Here is an 18,404-nt window from a genome sequence, read left to right as displayed (position 1 = left end):
ACTATGTCTGTAAGGCAGACTTTGGCTCTCCATGCAGCTGGCTGGAGTAACTGTCCATCTTGGAAACCGTCTTTCCTAAATGCAGAACTCCAAATTGGGATTTGGAGGGAGATAGTAGAAAGGCCAAATTTTTACATATATATATATATATATTTAATATTTAGTAGAGACGGGATCTTGCCTTGTTGCCCAGGCTGGTCACAAACTCATGGGCTCAAGCGATCCTCCTGCCTCAGCCACCCAAAGTGCTAGAATTACAGGCATGAGCCACACTGCTCAGCCTGGAAGGCCAAATTTAGATGTGAGTTCAAGCAGCATTCTCCAAATCAGGTAATAGCTTTGGGAGTAGCTAATGTTGGAAATTATTAGGCACCCCTTAATAAAGCTTCATTTGATGTTTTGGGTATGTTTATGATTGATGAAAACTTGAAAGAATGGGGACCGGGCGCGGTAGCTCACGCCTGTAATTTCAGCACTTTGGGAGGCCAATGCAGGCGGATCACTTGAGGTCAGGAGTTTGAGACCAGCCTGGCCAACATGGGGAAACCCTGTCTCTACTAAGAATACAAAAATCAGCTGGGTGTGGTGGTGTGTGCCTGTAATCCCAGCTACTTGGGAGGCTGAGGCAGGAGAATCGCTTGAACCCAGGAGGTGGAGGTTACAGTGAGCCGAGATCGCACCACTGCACTCCAGCCTGGGCAACAGACTGAGGCTCTGTCTCAAAAACAAACAAAGAAACCAAAGAAAAACAAAAAACTTAAAAGAATGGGGATATTACTGGAAACCCAAATTTCCAGCATAAAGTTTTGAGGTTCTTTTAAAATGGAACTCACTTGAAATTCCCTTATTCCCCAGACCAGCAAAACTCAGTTCTATCAGTAACATAATAACTATTAATAGGCAAGTTTCAAATGGTGGAAAAATAATATGTTGAATATATGGGAAGTTACTAGGCTTGCCGTTTAAAACTGAGGATGAAAATTAATTTTCAATTAATGAAGAATATTTATGCCGCTTACTGTCCTCACACCTTCACTATTTCTTTCCTCCTTAAAACTGTTTGATAATGCGGTTTCCTAAGATTTCCAAACTGGGGACATGTTTGTCTAGCAACGTATTTCTTTAAATACACTTCAGAGGTAATTTTCTGTTTCTTCAGAGAGGATCTATTCCTGTGCATCGCTTCCTAATTTTAATAATCCTGAGGTTTACATCAGGCACCCTGTGGTTTACAATACACACAACTCCTCGTGGCTGGTGGCCCCACTGCTCCTTGGATGTTGTTTGCACTTTGGTCCACGGTGGAAGTAACCTGTATGTAACAGTTAACCTTTGGACCTACCCAATGTTACAGTGACTGCCAGGCAAAGGCAACCACTAGTGTCTGAAATCACCCAGGATGAGTTTTCCTTTCAAACTAGAGGATTAAAAGAAAGAAATTGGAAAAAAGACTGAGTTAAAGTGCAAGTTTATGGAACAAGGGATGCTTATGTGATTAGAGATACTGTTTTTACTAAAAGAAAACCTTGCACTGAATGTTTAAAACTTAAGTAGAAATATGGGGTGAATTTTACAGAAACAAATTTGAGTCAGTCACAGAAATGTTATGCTAAGTTAAATAAAACAGAAAAATTCCAAATCCCTCTTCTAAGTAGGGCAAGTCCTTCCCCATTTCTGCTTGCCGACTCTTTTGGAATGGTTTCCATCTGGGCTTGATCCTCATCTCTCACCTGTGGAATTGGCCCTGTCTGAAAGGGACATGGATGTGCCAATGGGCCATGGGCTGCCCGGGTGGTAGAGATGACTGCGAGCTGGAGAAGCGAGGCTGCTGGAGTGGAAATGATGGTGAGGGTTATCGAGGGAATGGATGGGATGGGCACTAATCACAGCTGTGAATGAACACAAGACAGAGAAATGCTTAACATGCTTGCACAAACACACACAAATCACAGTTTAAGAGCAAAGTCACCCCCTTCCCACCTCCCATACAATCCAAACACTCCCTTGGTTTTTTGGTGGCAGCTGGCTAGATCTGGTCAATTAGCCATTGATTTTTACGTTGTTTTTTAAAAATGAAGATACTCTTTTGCATATGTCTACATATATATAGAAAAAAAGGAATATACACTAAAATGTTAACAGTTATTATCTTGCAGGGAAGAGTGGTCAGGATTAAAATAATATTTTTCTTTTGGCTTATCTGTATTTTCCAATTCTACTATAATAAACATGGATTACATGAGTTATTACAAGTATCTATTTGAATATGTCACAAAATATAAATCCATAAGCCAACACATAAATTTTCTATTTTGTCCTGCTAAAAGGATAGAAAGAAGTCCCTTCTTTTTCGAGTACATTCCTAATTCATTCTGCCTTTGTTAAAACTGCTGAATGAAGCATTTAATGGGTATTTAGGCCAAATAAATAAGTAGCTGTTTAATCGGCTTTCATGTCTTAAAATAAATGCAAATGGAATTGAACTCTGATGGTCCCATCTAGTACTAAAAGCATGAACCACTGGCTGATGGCACCATCTTTTACTGCTTCCAGTCTGGGGACTCAGACATACCCATCTGCATGTAAGAGAATAAATGGCTCTTTCCTTCCCACACTGGCTAAGGATTCAATTAACTGCGTTTAGCTAAAGAATCTGAAATTTCCACACAGATTTCACATACTACTTTCTATGAAGACAGAGATTCCATGTACTACTTTCTATGAGGCTTCATTATCCATCTGAGATGGAAACAGATAAAATTAGAAGCCCAGAGTCTGAGAATAAACTTTTCTGAGGAACTCCCTTGGAGTGGTTGTAGAAATGGCACGTTTAAGATCAAGATAACCAGCTCTACCCCCACCAAACAGGCAAATAGGCCAAAGCTGACTAACAATACTGGGAATCTTTTTTTCTCCAAACAAAGGCTTCATGAACTTAATAATACTACTTAATTAACACTTAGTGGCCTATTGAAATGTCTTCTGTCCCCAAGGATCTCCCTAAAGTCTTTGTGGGGCTATTCAACATTACTCTGGTGAAAAGAAATCCTGGTCAACAAAATGGGTGCCTTTACTTTCCAGCTATCCCTTGTCCTGGCCACATGCAAGCAAGCAGGTGGCATGACTGGGACCCTTGAGCACTGCTGACCCTTCCTTCCCTTCTCAAGGCCTGAGGAACAAAAAAGGGGCTTTCCCTCAGGTGCTGCTCTTGGGGACCAGAGGCTCCAGGTTGTGCCCGGGAATAAAACAACAGAGGAAAGCTGTCTGAGGAGGGCTCTTGAGGTAACTGGGGAGTCAGCAACTCTAGGGGAAGACAGGTAGTTTTTAGAAGTAGGTGCTTCAGACTCAGTGTTTTCCAGAATTCAGGCTGGGGTAGGGGGAATAAACCTGATTTTTACCTAGGAAAGTACAATTTGAAAGCATTTTAGGACTCTCACAAGGGAAAAACAAAATTGACTTTTTCCCTTTTATAAGGCATTTCCAGTCTTTCTAGGTAAGTAAATAAAAAAAAATAAAGCAGTGTGAATGTGCCTGCCTAGGATATAGTAGGAAATCAGCAGCTGTTAGCTGACTCTGAACTTGTTGCTTCAGTGCATGGCCCTGGATGGAGCCATGTCCCAGCACCAGCAAACCCTTCCTGGCACTGCTCAGTCATTTAAGACCAGGGAAGGTGGGGAGTGGGTATATGGCTCCTGCAGCATTCCAGGGCCCAGAGCTCAGGGAATACCAGCTTGTGAAACAGAACTGTAGCCATGCGGGTTTTAAAAACAGTATCTGAAAACCTAAAGACCACAAGTGGATCTTATGGTTGCAGGTTTTTAAAAGATTCCACTTACCCACCCAACTGTTAAGGCACAAATTAAATAATATTGTATATTGGTGCAAACTCCTTCCCCAACATCAAAAAAAGAAGAATGATATCAACTGGACAACATATCTTTTTTACTTAACATATTTAAAAGTAATACATCTAGAAATAAAGATAGTAAAATTTTACAAGTTTTCAAAATAAGCCAGTTCAGGTAGGAACTCAAGTCTTATACAAAACAAACAAATAAGAGTATAGTGCTAGCATCTTCTTGATCAATCAGAAGCAACTGGGATGGATTAATTTACTCTTCTTGGGCATTTGTATCTTTAAACCTGGGAACCCCATCCAGGGCACCTCTTGTAAGAGGGAAACCATGGTTTTCCCCTGCATTTCCAAGTCCAGGCTTTTCTTTCCATCAAGGACCACAAGCATAAGCTACTTTGAGCTGAAATTACCTGTTAACAAATAGGGTATTACTCTTTCAAAGATGGTTTTTGTAATCCAGTATCTTACATGTTTGTGTACAGTGTTTGTGGGAGAGGGAATGCGTGTGCAGACATCCACGTGCTTGAAGCTTCCACCAAGAGGTTGGGGATTTGAGGAACTTTTCCAAGTGCACGATGTCATGGTGTACCTCGTTGCATGTATGATATTCATGGCTATTAAATCGCATCGTTTGTTGACAGATGGCTGAGAATTCCCTCAACTGCAAGCCCCACTGTGCTAGCTAGTCTGAAAGGCTTCACTTCCTTGAAAACAGTGACGAGAGAGGACATAGTAGTTTGAAAGAATCGGTTTGTCCCACTGCTTTCTGGTTTAATCATGATATTTATTTTGAATTTCAACTATTATTAAAAGAGGCTCAGAAACCTTTATGCTTATCAAAGTGAGGCACGAATCAAGAATGAAAAATGTTGTTTAAAAAATTCCGGCTGGGCGGGTGGTGGTGGCTCAGGCCTGTAATCCCAGCACTTTGGGAGGCCGAGTTGGGTGGATCATCTGAGGTCAGGAGTTTGAGACCAGCCTGGCCAATATGGTGAAACCCCGTGTCTACAAAAAACTAGCCAGGTGTGGTGGCGAGCACCTGTAATCCCAGCTGCTTGGGAGGCCGAGGCAGGAGAATTGCTTGAACCCGGGAGGTGGAGGCTGCAGTGAGCTGAGATCGTGACACTGCACTCCAGCCTTGGCGACACAGCAAGACTCTGACTCTGTCTCAAAAAAAAAAAAAAAAAAAAAAAAAAAATTCCACACAGTAAAACCTAAAGCTATTCTAAAATATAAAGTCTACTAATTTTATTTTTAAATTTTATTATTTTAATTAATTAATTTAGAGACTGGCTCTTGGCTCTGTTGCCCAAGCTGGAGTGCAATGGTGCAAAATCATAGCTCAATGCAACCTTAAACGCTGGGTTCAAGTAATCCTTCCATCTCAGCCTCCTGGGTAGCCTCAGCCTCTTGGGTAGCTGGGACTACAGGTTGTGTGCCACGATGCCTGGCTTTATTTTTTTTATTTTTTTTGAGACAGAGTCTCACTCTGTCACCCAGGCTGGAGTGCAACAGCACGATTTTGGCTCACTGCAACCTCTGCTTCCCAGGTTCAAGTGATTCTCATGCCTCAGCCACCTGAGTAGCTGGGATTATAGACATGTACCACCATACCTGGCTAATTTTTAATTTTATTTTTTTTGGTAGAGATGGGGTCCCACTACATTGCCCAGGCTGGTCTAGAACTCCTGGCCTCCAGCAATCCTCCCACTTTGGTCTCCCAAAACTCTAGGATTATAGGTGTGGGCCATCTTGCTTGGCCTTCAAATCTATTAATTAAAAAAATAAATTTCACAGGTGCTCATCAGCACTGGTGTCAGGCAGCGTAATGAAAACTTGTAACATCAGACCATCCTTAGCTCTAGTCTGGAGGAGGGAAGCTTTCCCATCTCTCCCATAGAGATATGATGCACTTTTAGGGAGACTAGTTACTCCCCTATTCCTGGGAATCTGGAGACATTGGCTTTTCAGCTTATTTACCATAAACATAACGACGCTAGCCTCAAGAATAATGTTTGTTGCAAAATATGGCAAGTGTTTGGTACTTCCTCCTTCAAGGTGTCAAAGCTTTGGTAGATTATCTTTGTGTTAGAATCAAGTGAAGTCAAAAAGATCATTCATAGTTGTTCCCCTACATGACTGAACAGATTGGTAGCACTGAGGAAAAGAGATGCTTCTACTTACGCTGGGGTGGCTGGGAGTCAAAGGGCATCATCATTTTTGGTCTCATTCCTCGCCTTCCAGCCAGTGTAGACATGCTGTCCTCTGACTCATGCCCTAGATGTTAAACGTGGAGGTTAGTTACCAGCATGTGCCCTATGCCACTGAGCAGCCTCAACAGTGAAACATTTCTAGTAGGGGATTCAGAATTCACAAACAGCATAATGGGGACAAGACATTTCTGTAAGAAGTGAAATAAAGAGGAAAATGATCATTAGAGCATTACAAGAGTTCCTGCTGAATCAATGTGGATGTCACAATGCTGCCCACCATACTTCACAGGGTGTCTATAAGAGCCTCCAGACCAAGAATGTTCTGAATACCACAATGCAAGCTGGAAGCCAGCTGAAGACACAGAATGAAATGCACAGACATGGGCTAGCTAGCCTCAAATCCTTGAATATCACGCTGCTGAAGCCTGATGAGAGACCTAAAAGATCTGCAAGATTGTCTCGTATGGCTACAGAATCTCTCTCCCATAAGAAGCTAGGTATTCTTCATCATATGTTCCCAAATCTTATCATACACATTTCTCTAAATCTGATCTCATATAGGAATTGCCAAATGAAGGCAAACTCAGGGAAAAAAAAAAAGATTTAAATGAAAATAGTTTCCTAACATTTGAGAAAAAACCTGCACTTAAAATGGTACCTCTGTATGAATTTCGCCTTTGATGGATATTGCTGTCCATGGAGTTGTCAACTGGTGTGATATCTTGAGAGTTGCGAGGAATTGGAGTATCAGTCATGATGGGGTTTGGGTCTGGAGACTTATCAATGGGTTTCAGCTCCAGTCTCTCATGATGGATCCAGAGATCTGGAGGTTTCACATCTTTGGAATTCCCTTTGTACTTATGAGAGCCATTCACTGATTTGCAGGCAGCTCGTTTCCTAGGCACGAAGTTCAGAGGAGCTTTTAAAAAGTAACTCATTTGAACGTATTTGTCAAAAGGCTTGAGTGATTAAAACTTCCTTTCTGAGAGATGTTTCAAGCAAAAAAAGCAAAAACTAAAAACATACCTCCTGCCCCCAACAACAACAACAACAACAACAAGTTTGCTCCTGGGGAGAGTAAATGTATCTCTATTTTGTCCACACATATTTAGAGATACTTACCAGGGTCTTTATGTTTGAATCCTGCCTTGTGACTACTTTTTTTGACTGTTAAAAGATTAAGATAGCATTTTTCATTATATAATCTCATAACCAGAAGGTTCATCCACAAGTTTCTAATTAGAGCAATGTAGAAACATAACAATGGAGTAGAGGGAAAGTCTGTGGCTTATAAAGGAGGGAGGCAAAAACTTTTTTTGTTTTTTTTTTTTGAGATGGAGTTTTGCTCGTCGCCCAAGCTACAGTGTAATGGCGAGATATCGGCTCATTGCAACCTGGCCTCCTGGGTTCAAGAGATTCTCCTGCCTCAGCTTCCTGAGTAGCTGGGATTACAGGCGTCCACCACCACACCCAGCTAATTTTTGTGTTTTTAGTAGAGACAGGGTTTCACCATGTTGGCCAGGCTGTTCTCGAATTCCTGAACTCAGGTGATCTGCCGCCTTGGCCTCCCAAAGTGCTGGGATTACAGGCGTGAGCCACTGTACCTGGCCGGAACAACTTCGAAGACTGCCAAACTAGGACTACCAACTAGGTGGAGTCAAGAATGGGGACAACAATGTCTACTTCTCTGTGTTTTAGCTTCTCCATTCACTCTCTTACTTACCCCTAATGAGGACATACTGGGTACCCAGTATATGCCAGACCCTGTGCTAGACTGCTGTGCCCTCAGAATTTTTGATAAAGTGAGGAATACAGACGTTGAACTATTATTTTAAAATGTTCTGAGCTTACTGAAATGTCAAGTGTTAGAGTAACTTCTTAACAGTTGGACTTAAGCTGAACAGGAAAAACCTAGAGGAGGAAGTGACATTTAAGCTAAGACCTAAAGGGAACAGAAAGTGCATTCCAGGTGGTGAAATCAGCTTATGTCAAAACCCTAAAGCAGAGTGCAATGCCCTGGTGGTATATTAGAAGGATTTTAAGAAATCCTGAGTGGTGGGGACATAGTGAACCCTGCAGAGAATGATGTGAAATAATACTAGAAAGGTAGTCAGGGACCAGATCATAAAGAGCTTTTAGGGCAATGCTAAGAGTGTGAACTTCCCTTTGTGAGTAATGAGAAACCATTAAATGGTTTTAAGCAAGAGAGTAAGGAGAACACTTTTGAGTTAAAACTTTATACCAGCTGTGATGTGAAGAATAGCTCTGTGGGGTTGGGGATAGAAGAGGAGACCAGCTAGGATGCTACTGCAATCTCAGCCATAACTGATGGCATGGGACAGTGGGAGTAGAGGCAAGAGGCAGATTTGAAAGTTATTCAGGAGGCAGACATGACAGGTCTTGGTAAATAAATGGATGTAGGGTGAGGTGGGAGTAAAGAAGAAAGAGGAGTACAGGATGATGCTAAGGTTTCTGATTTAAGCCACTTAATATTGGGAATAAAGGAGCAGAAGCGGGTTTGCCTGAAAAGATGATGAATTCTGCTCTGGACATGCTGAATTTGAAATGTCTCTGAGACATTCAAGAGGAAATGTAGAAGAGGCAACTGTGTGTGCAAGTCTGATACTCAGAGGAGGGAGGCCTTGGCTGGAGACAGAAATACAAAAGTAGCTGGAATGCTGAAGCCACGGGAGCAGATGAGATCACTTGGGGAGAACACAGAAGGAGAAGAGAGTAAGTCCAGGCCCAGGCCCTGAGGAATGTCTGTATTTGATGGCTAGGTAGACAGGAGGACCTATGAAAAAAAACAAAAAACAAAACAAAACATGCTGTCATGGATACAAAAGAAGAAAATGTTTCCAGAAGGAAGGAATGGTTGACTGTGTGAAATGTTGCTGAGAGACTAAGATGAGAACTGAAAAATGTTCTTTGGCTTTAGCAATACACAGGTCGCTGGTGACCTCCACAAAAGCAATTCTGGTGAAGTGGTAGGGGCAGAATAAAGATTAGAAAGGGCTGATGCATGGGTAGGCAGTGAACAGACATAAGAGTATAAGCAAGTTATCAAGGAATTCTGTGGTGGAGAAGAAAGGTTAGTAAGCAGCCGGTGAAAAGGACCATACAGGGGGTGGGGGTGGGGGTGAGGTTATAATTATAATTATTCCTTAAGCTGGAAGAAGTTAGAGCACACTTAAATACTGAAGAGGCGGCCAATAACGAGTAAGAGGTCAGCTATGCTGGAGAGAGGAATAACAGCAGGTAAAAGGTCTTAGAAAAATGGAAGACAATGAGATTCAGGGGGTAAAGGGTAGAACGGGCTTCAAACAGGGGAAGTACACTTAGGAGGGAGGAGGAAACGATGATTACCAGTGTAGAAAGGTGTCAGATTTGATGGTGGTGTGCTGAGGTTGTTCTTATCTGACAGCTTCTGCCTTCTTCATGAAGGAGAAGCCCAGCTTACCTGTTGCCAGTCAGGGGCTAAGGGGGAATGTGCTGAGAACCAACGAGGGTTTAGATTCTCTAAATGCTCTATCAACTTTGAGGTTGTAAGACTCTGTAAACAGCTACCATCTAAATGAACCTCAGGTATTACAGAGGAAGAAAAGTAGGAAGAAAAGTAGTAAGAAAAGCTCGCTTATATTTTTCAACAGTCAATGGAATACTTGCAAAGCAGATAACTGGGGAAGTGGGGGAGGGGAAAACCCCATGAAGATCTGATATGATGATTTTCAACAAAGGGACCCAAATCTGTAGGACGTGCCAATACAGAGAATAGAGCCTATTATCAACTCATCTTCTTACTTTCAATCTGAAGACTGAGTACCTTATTTGGCAGGCTGAGGTGGGCAGATCACTTGAGGTCAGGAGTTTGACACCAGCCTGGCCAACATGGTGAAACCCTGTCTCTACTAAAAATACAAAAATTAGCCGGGCATGGTGGCACATGCCTGTAATCCCAGCTACTTGGGAGGCTGAGGCAGGAGAATCACTTGAACCCGGGAGGTGGAGGTTGCAGTGAGATGAGATTGTTCCACTGCACTTCAGCCTGGGTGACAGACCAAAATCCTGTCTAAAAAAAAATTTACTTTGAATTTGAAGTCTTCCAAAGCACTAAGGAATTCTGTCATTTTGGTTTTCAAATTATTTCAATAACAGAAAAATAAAGATCCCAATATTTCTAAAACTGATATAAAATCAAGTTCATAGATAGATAAATATTAAATGCCAAATAAAGAGGCTTGAAGAAAAGTTCTAGAGTAGAAAAAAAAATGTAGTCTTTGAGGCTTTAAAAATAATAGTTTTCCACTATTAAAAGTAGACAGGGCCGGGCGCAGTGGCTCATGCCTCTAATCCCAGCACTTTGGGAAGCCGAGGCGGGCGGATCATTTGAGGTCGGGAATTCGAGACCAGCCTGGCCAACATGGTGAAACCCCATCTCTACTTAAAAAATACAAAAATTAGCCAGGCATGGTGGTGGGTGCCTGTAATCCCAGCTACTTGGGAGCCTGAGGCAGGAGAATCGCTTGAATCCAGGAGGCAGAGGTTGCAGTGAGCCAAGAATGTGCCACTGCATTCCAGCCTGGGCAACAGAGAGAGACACCGTCTCAAAAGAAAAAAAAAAAAAAAAAAAGGAAGAGCTATAAGAGGCAGTGGTCAGAAGGATTATAAAAGAAGCCTCCATTTTTCTTGGAAAAGTGATACAGTACAAGCTATGGAAAGCTATTTCATTTGGGCAAAAGAAAGAGAGATTTAAAATATCACATAACTTACAAAAAATGACATAAAGTCATTACCAGTAGCAGTTACAGGGTGGCCTGTACTTACCCTGTACAGTGAAAATGAACAAATTTATGATTATTAAATACATGCATTCTTGCCTTGGGCAGATCAAGTCTGCATGGATAATCACATAAACATGAATTTCTCTTTCTCTAGCGGAGCAACACCCCCATCTTATGATCTTTCAAGATATTGCAACTAAAGTCATTTTATTATGCACATTATGGTACTGCTATTAGGAATAACTCAGGAATCTCCTTTTTTTTTTCTATCTATTTTGCTAACCAGATATCTGAGTTGAATGTAATTTAGGATCAAGGATTCTTTCAAGTGTAGGACTGTATGGTATTAGCAAGCACTACATAACTGAGCCCCCTTGCTATCTGCACTTAGACCATTAGCCACAACCCTCAAAATCCCAGAGGAGTTCAAGGCTAGCAGCCATTCAGCCGCTCTGAGAAACTGATAAATTGATTATCAATGATCCTTTCCTGTTCATTAAAGCAATCCTACCCCCACCCCCAACTCTACACTTGGTAGCAATTCTTTAAAAATATTCTTAAACTTAGATTTAGAATGACAGGCCTATGGTCTTCTTCCAACTGGGCTGGCATTTGTGCTGTGACACAGCCTGTAAGAATGTCCACAGACTCCTGGGCATCGGGTTCACTGTGGGCATGTACAGATGGTGCTCCAAAGGGGGTGACCAGCAATGCCAGACACTTTCTACTTTTCTCACCACATCTATTCTCTAGTTGGCCCTCTGACCCCAGAGGTTGAGCTAAATTAACTATTACTTGGCAATCCTGCTGGGTTTCCTGGCTTCCAGCTGGGTATAGCTAATACTAGACACTGGCAAGAGGCTGGAGGGTAGGAGGTGTTTCTTTTCCTGCCACTGCCCGCTGGGAGGAGGCTGGCAATGGCTGCATGCCTCTAGCACCCACTTTGCTTTTGTCAGGAAGCCCTCTCCTACTGCTTCAGATTTCTGAAAACAGCTCTCTCCTCTTGCCCTTTCAGGCCCAAGGATGATGGTGTCTTATCATAGCTGCTAGCCTCTGAATATCCCTGCCTAGTTTGCCCTAACCCCACCTATGACTTTGTAAATTACCTCTTTTGAAATCCTTTTAAATGTGCCAGCTCTTTTCTGCCAGGACACTGACTGATAAGAGGAACCACTTCCCATTTTCTTTTAAAATATCTTAAATTCCTTTTCATGTATTTTTATGTCTTAACTTTGTGTACCACTCCATATACAGAAGTCACATGGAAGCAAAAGATAAGATGCCAAAAATCTAAGGGGTGCATCTGGGGCTTCTTACTTTTTCTGGTGAGAGGTGGTACGACGGGTACAAAAGACAGCGATAATCACAACCACCACGATGGTGATGACGCCAACAGAAACAATTATGACCAGCAGCATATTACTGTCCAGAGGAGAGGTGGGGCTCCCATGAGGGCTGTTACTGCCTGCAGAGAGAGAAATGGTACATGTGTTAGGGTTAGAGAATTTAAAACATGCATACTATCAAGCTACAGAACCATTAATATCTCACGTGAACTTCTTGATAACACTCATTGCTCTGACTTATATAAAAGTGCCGCGTGAACATGGCTCTCTTCTCTAGATGATGAGCTCCTAGACAGCTAAGAGTCTGTCCTATGAACAGTGCTCAGGACAGAGCCTGCTCAAAGATAGTACTTAATTAAAGCTTCTCAAATTGTACTGAACATTCAAGAGCTTTCAAAGGTTGAGATATACTTAGACAGATAAAGAGTCTTGGCTCTCTGGTGTCTCATGTGATATATAAACTCATTTTGTAAAGCACCACTTATAAGTCATTTAGTTTTCTGGTTTTCAAAACCATTTAAAAATGTTCATTCATACAAAGCAGAAGTTTTCCCCAACAGGCAGATATCTGAGATTATAAAAATTGCATGAAAAGTAAAGTCTGTTTTTATAAATACACAGCCTACGCAGAGTTAATTCTCTTGTTCAACTTCAAGAAACAGTAGGTCTGAAGTATGGCTTAATTTGACAAATACTGAATGGTTACTATGTGTCAGTCATTGTTCTAGGTACTAAGGTGCAATGGTGAACAACAAAGATGTGAACGTTTGGCGGGGGAATGGGATAAACGATAAATATGAAATTATTAGTTAATAACTAACGGTGTGAAAAAAAGAAAATGAGGGGTTATGATACAGAGTGTCTGGGTAGCCAATTTAGATTGAATGGTTAGAAAAAGCTTCTCTGAGAAGATGGCATTTGAGTTCAGATCTGAGTAAGAAAGATTCCATCATACAAGGGAAAGGACCCTGAGGCAGGAACAAGCTCTTCTCAAGGAAGAGAAATGCAGCCAGTGTTGTTTAAGCAGAGAGATGCAAGTCAGAAGGAAGGAAGTGAGGAGGAAAAAAGGGATAAGGCTGGAAAAGCTGCAGAGGCTGGACCATTTAGGACCCTGAAGAAGGAAATTCAGATTTTCTTTTCCTTTTCCTATTATTATTTCCCCATTGCTGAAAGGATGAGCTCTAGGCTTTGTAATTTAGCTCTAAGTCTTACTGTCTTCCATTTCTTGAAACATGTTTCTTTGCCTCCCTACTCATTATTTATGTATGCTCATATTATAAAATGTGGCAAATCCCACCACACATGTCTAACCACCATGGATATCTAATCTCTTTCCTTCTAGCTACTCTCTCTCTTAATTTTCTAACAATCAGAGGTGTACAATAATGGGATGAGCTGCCTTGCCAAGAAATGCATCTTTAGTTATTGGAAGTACTTAAGAGGCATCCTGCCAGCGTGGGATGTTGTGGAAGAAGTTCCTACCATCAAAGTATGGCCTGGAATGTGTGTTTTAAAAAAAAATCTCTTGGCTTGGCGCAGTGGCTCACGCCTGTTAATCCCAGCACTTTGGGAGGCCGAGGCGGGTGGATCACGAGGTCAGGAGATCGAGACCATCCTGGCTAACATGGTGAAACCTCGTCTCTAATAAAAAATTCAAAAAAATTAGCCGGGCATGGTGGCGGTGCCTGTAGTCCCAGCTACTCAGGAGGCTGAGGCAGCAGAATGGCGCGAACCTGGGAGGCGGAGCTTGCAGTGAGCGGAGATCGCGCCATGCACTCCAGCCTGGGCGACAGAGCAAGACTCCGTCTAGGGGGGAAAAAATCTCCTGAAGTGGTTCTCCTAACAACCTGGCTTATAAATTTATGTGTTTTTTTTTTTTTTGAGTCTCGCTCTGTCGTCCAGGCTGGAGTACAGTGGCACAATCTCCGCTCACTGCAAGCTCCGCCCCTCTGGTTCATGCCATTCTCCTGCCTTAGCCTCCCGAGTAGCTGGGACTACAGGCGCCCGCCACCATGCCCGGCTAATTTTTTTTTGTATTTTTAGTAGAGACGGGGTTTCACAGTGTTTGCCAGGATGGTCTCGATCTCCTGACCTCGTGATCTGCCTACCTCAGCCTCCCAAAGTGCTGGGATTACAGGCATGAGCCACTGCGCCCGGCCCAAATTTATGTTCTAATCCAAACTTACACTCATTGTGGGAATCCCTTCCACAACGCCGGATTAACTGACCCTCCAACTTTGCTTCTTTGATTTTACAGACTACATCTAAGTACAGTGCTAAATCTGGGGCTGATTTAGAAGGGATTAAGAGCCTATTCTACATTTGGTTCAATCATTTTTATCTTTCATTTATGAGAAAAAGGTAAGCAGACAGACAACTTAAACTGTACATACTGACCTTCAATAAAATAATGTTTTTATATTTGGGAAAGACCATGGTACTGGGGCCACTAAAATGGACCATACTGTTCATATTAGAGTAGGGCTTTCCATAACACTGTTATTAATAGCAGTGCTGAACTACAGGGTTGGGTACTTGGCAGGGCAGGCATTGCAAATTAGAGGCTGGGGAGCTGAAGTATGGGAGGCAGGCAGAGGTGGAGGTGGTTCTTTCCTGCATTTCACTGACAAATTCTCATTTACTCGCATCTGACCTCTTGCGAATGAGCTGGACAAAAGTTTTCTTCTAAGATACAGCAAGAGTGAGCTGCCAAAGAACAGTCCTACCAGGGACAATATATATGCCATTTCTTTATGCCTCATCTGGACTACTATAACAGCTTCCTTTTTTTTTTTTTGAGACGGAACCTCACTCTGCTGCCCAGGCTGGAGTGCAGTGGTGTGACCTCGGCTCACTGCAACCTCTGCCTCCCGGGTTCAAGTGATTCTTCTGCTTCAGCCTTCTGAGTAGCTGGGATTACACGTGCATACCACCACGCCTGGCCTGTAACAGCTCCCTAACCCCTCTTGCCTGACTTTATACTCTTAGCCCCCAACTTATTCTTCACTGCTATCAGAGTAATAACAGTTGATAATAAAAGATGGATGTCATAGTGTACCAGTGGTGTCAGATATTTCACATGTTATTTGTAGGATAAAGCTCATATTTCTTAGCACTGGTACTTGAGTTTTTGACAGGCTGATTCCAACCTGCATTTTCAACTCAATCTCTATCCTTTCTCTATGCAGTGTGACTCCTGGAGAGAGCAGGCTGTTTTATTAATATATTGCCATGCCTCTGCACATGCTGATATTGCTTCCTGGAATGTCCAATCCCTTTCTTGACATTTAGCAATCTTCTAGCATCCTTGAAGATCCGGGTTAGACGGCACCTCTTCTAGGAAGCTTTCCCTTTATCAGGTAGTTTGTTATTAACTCCTCTTGCTCCCACAGCTTGTCACATAGAGCCTGCATCTTTAAAAACGTGCACGCGGGCCCCGGGCGTGGTGGCTCACGCCTGTAATCCCAGCACTTTGGGAGGCCGAGGTGGGCGGATCACCTGAGATCAGGAGATCAAGACTAGTCTGGCCAACATGGTGAAACCCCGTCTCTACTAAAAACACAAAAATTAGCTGGGCGTGGTGGCAGGCGCTTGTAATCCCAGCTACTCGAGAGGCTGAGGCAGGAGACTCCCTTGAACCCGGGAGGTGGAGGCTGCAGTGAACTGAGATCATGCCACTGCACTCCAGCCTGGGTGACAGAGCGAGATTCCATCTCAAAAAAAAAAAAAAACCAAAACCAAAACAACAAAAAAACATGCATGCATGAGTGAATACATGAATGAAAGAAAGACAAAGGAGTAATTACCTTCCTCACAGCCTTAAAAATTATACTGTGGACACAATATAAATGTCACATACACATGGAGAAGAAGAAACTCATAAACAGAGTCCTAGAACCTGGAGCACAATTATTTCTGGAAGGATGTTAAGTTTGTCTGGTTCTTTTAAGGCTGATTTCATTAAAGTCTGGGCAGTTCCACTTTTGATTTAAATAGATAGCTGGAGATTAAGACATCATCGTATTCCTACAATTAGACTATGAGTTACTAGGGGACAGGCGTTTCTCTCATATGTCTCTCTCTTCCACATGTGAAGAGACAGTAAGGGTCATTCCTAGTAACTACTTCTGTGGACACTTTCCACTCTAGGTTCCCACGTCTGGTACAGCACCCACTGCTTTTTTAGGCTGAATGTGACAGTGGGAAAAGCACAATCAGAAATGAGAAGCCCTGGGTTTTGGTCCTAGGACTGCCACAATTAGCACGTGGCCCCAGGCACGTTACTTCTCCACTTAGTTTCTGAATGTATTAAACGGGAATAACGGTATCTGTTCTCCCTGCTTCACCATGTTGTAAGAATCAATTGTGACTTCATGTGTGAAAGTAGCTTATATATGGTGAAGCTCTGTAAAGACGGGGGTGTCATCATTAAATTAGAAGGCACCAGCTCTCAGGATGGCTAGGAGAGTGGAAGAATTTTCTAGAATTGCTAAACTAAAAACACTGCAGTATGTAGTAGCACTGGAAGAACTTAATGATTCTAAAAGCATTTGTTTGGCTTGGTTTGGATGGTGGCTAATCCCACTAGAGGGTTTATTTTTGAAAGCGAAACTCTAACTCTTTTCTAGAGGCAGTAGGCAACAGGATGAACAAATTGTTTAGGAATTAATCTTAAGTTGGATAACTGGGGAAACAATTTGATTTATGGGTCCTACGACACATGGGCTTGGAGTGATTTGGCAAACACTTAAATCTAGCAATAAAAGAAAACAGGCTAATATGCTACAACCCACCACACACAAGCTATAAAGGACATTTCAAAAATTTAAGCAAAAGTGCTTCATGTCCATAGTAAGCAAAAAACGCCATGGGAAAGGCTTTACCGCTCATTGGAGGTTTGTAGTCGGATCCTAGGTCTGGCAGCCGGCTTCCTTTCCCTCCAGACCCTGAGGCTAAAGGAGAAGAAATCATGTCAATAATGACCCCACACATTTGGCGTGACAGTCCACTTCATAGCTAGGGAGTGTTTTAAACAAAAAACACAATTTTTAGTCTATTCTGTCCATGAGAAAATAAAGTAGCACATAAATCATGGGAATCTATAGTCTATGTGTGGAAAGCAAACTAAGGTATAGCTTTCTATGTAATGAGGCATCTGAAAGACTGACACGCTTGTCTCACGGCTGTGAGCTGACTGTCACTGCTGTTTAGAAGCTGGGACAGTAGGTGCTATTTCTCTAGCTTAGGAAACAGTTCCCAAAGGACTGCTCAGAGGACTTACAGCAAAAGTAGCTTCTCCTAGAAAAGCAACCAAGGGGACTAATTAGGTTAATGTCTACATTAAAGAACTATACTCTTCCAAGGGACCTGGCTATGTGGATACTAATACCTGACCTAGCAGGTGTTAGTATTGTTTAGATTCTTTTCTCAAATTACAAAGTTGTCCTTCTGAATATAAAGTTACCCTAAGCTAAGCAGGAGCAGGAAGGTAAATGGAAGTTCAAATCAGGTTCTCAGTTCCTGCTCAGTCACCTAAACATTCCAGAGGCTGAAAAAAACAGTCTTCCTCCTAGTTGCTCAAAAAGACACTGTCTCCTAATCCATCATCAGGGAACATACTAAGTGAGGCTGCTGACCTCAGGCCTAGGACCACCCCAGAAGGAGGCCTCAGAAAGTGCAAATATCAGTTTTTTAAAAAATTCTTATACTTGGCCTTGAATTTTGCTCTTCACATTTATAGGAAAAGCTGCTTGGGAAAAGCAAATACGAGGACCTTTTTCCAATAAAGCAAAGGTGTCAATCTAAGGTTTATACCCAGAAAGCAATATCATACTTCTCCTGAAAAAGAGGTCTGAAAGAATTGCAAAGTAAAAGCTGTTTTATGAAGTTAACTATGAGGTTAATATAGCACATTGTTTAATAGACAGACTGCACTTGCATATTACCTCCATCATATACAACTGTTTGACTTTGGGCAAGTTATTTATTCTTTTTGGGCCTCAGTTTTCTCATTGTAACACAGGGATAATAATGGTATCCACTTCACAAAGCTGTTGTGAGGATTAAATGGAAATTTAATACCATAAAATATTTTTAATACTGACTGACACATAGTAGATGTTCCATAAATGTTAACCACTCCTATTACAAGCATAAAAAATCTTCACGAAAGAGTATAATCTTCTCTTTAAAGAGGCAGAGAGCATGA

The 18,404-nt window shown here is 42.1% G+C and overlaps 1 protein-coding gene across 29 annotated transcripts in view; it reads right to left on the bottom strand.

Annotated features, from left to right (window-relative positions):
• NEO1 (neogenin 1) overlaps positions 1-18,404 on the bottom strand; it is a 253,515-nt gene that overhangs the window by 9,928 nt on the left and 225,183 nt on the right. For 14 of the 29 annotated variants that reach the window (XM_047432591.1, XM_011521628.3, XM_011521629.3 and 11 more), the window contains 5 exons: positions 17,080-17,148; positions 12,168-12,315; positions 6,728-6,966; positions 6,041-6,133; positions 1,731-1,889 (listed from right to left, as the gene is read on the bottom strand). In XM_047432591.1, coding sequence (XP_047288547.1) covers positions 1,731-1,889; positions 6,041-6,133; positions 6,728-6,966; positions 12,168-12,315; positions 17,080-17,148 — 708 coding nt within the window. The remainder of the gene's footprint in view (positions 1-1,730; positions 1,890-6,040; positions 6,134-6,727; positions 6,967-12,167; positions 12,316-17,079; positions 17,149-18,404) is intronic. The other 15 variants (XM_011521633.4, XM_017022233.2, XM_017022234.2 and 12 more) reach the window with 3 other exon arrangements.

Source organism: Homo sapiens, chromosome 15, assembly GCF_000001405.40.
Source record: "Homo sapiens chromosome 15, GRCh38.p14 Primary Assembly".
NCBI classification, from domain to species: domain Eukaryota; kingdom Metazoa; phylum Chordata; class Mammalia; order Primates; family Hominidae; genus Homo; species Homo sapiens.
Note: the sequence above shows the minus strand (reverse complement) of the source record. Positions and strands in the feature narration are given on the sequence as shown.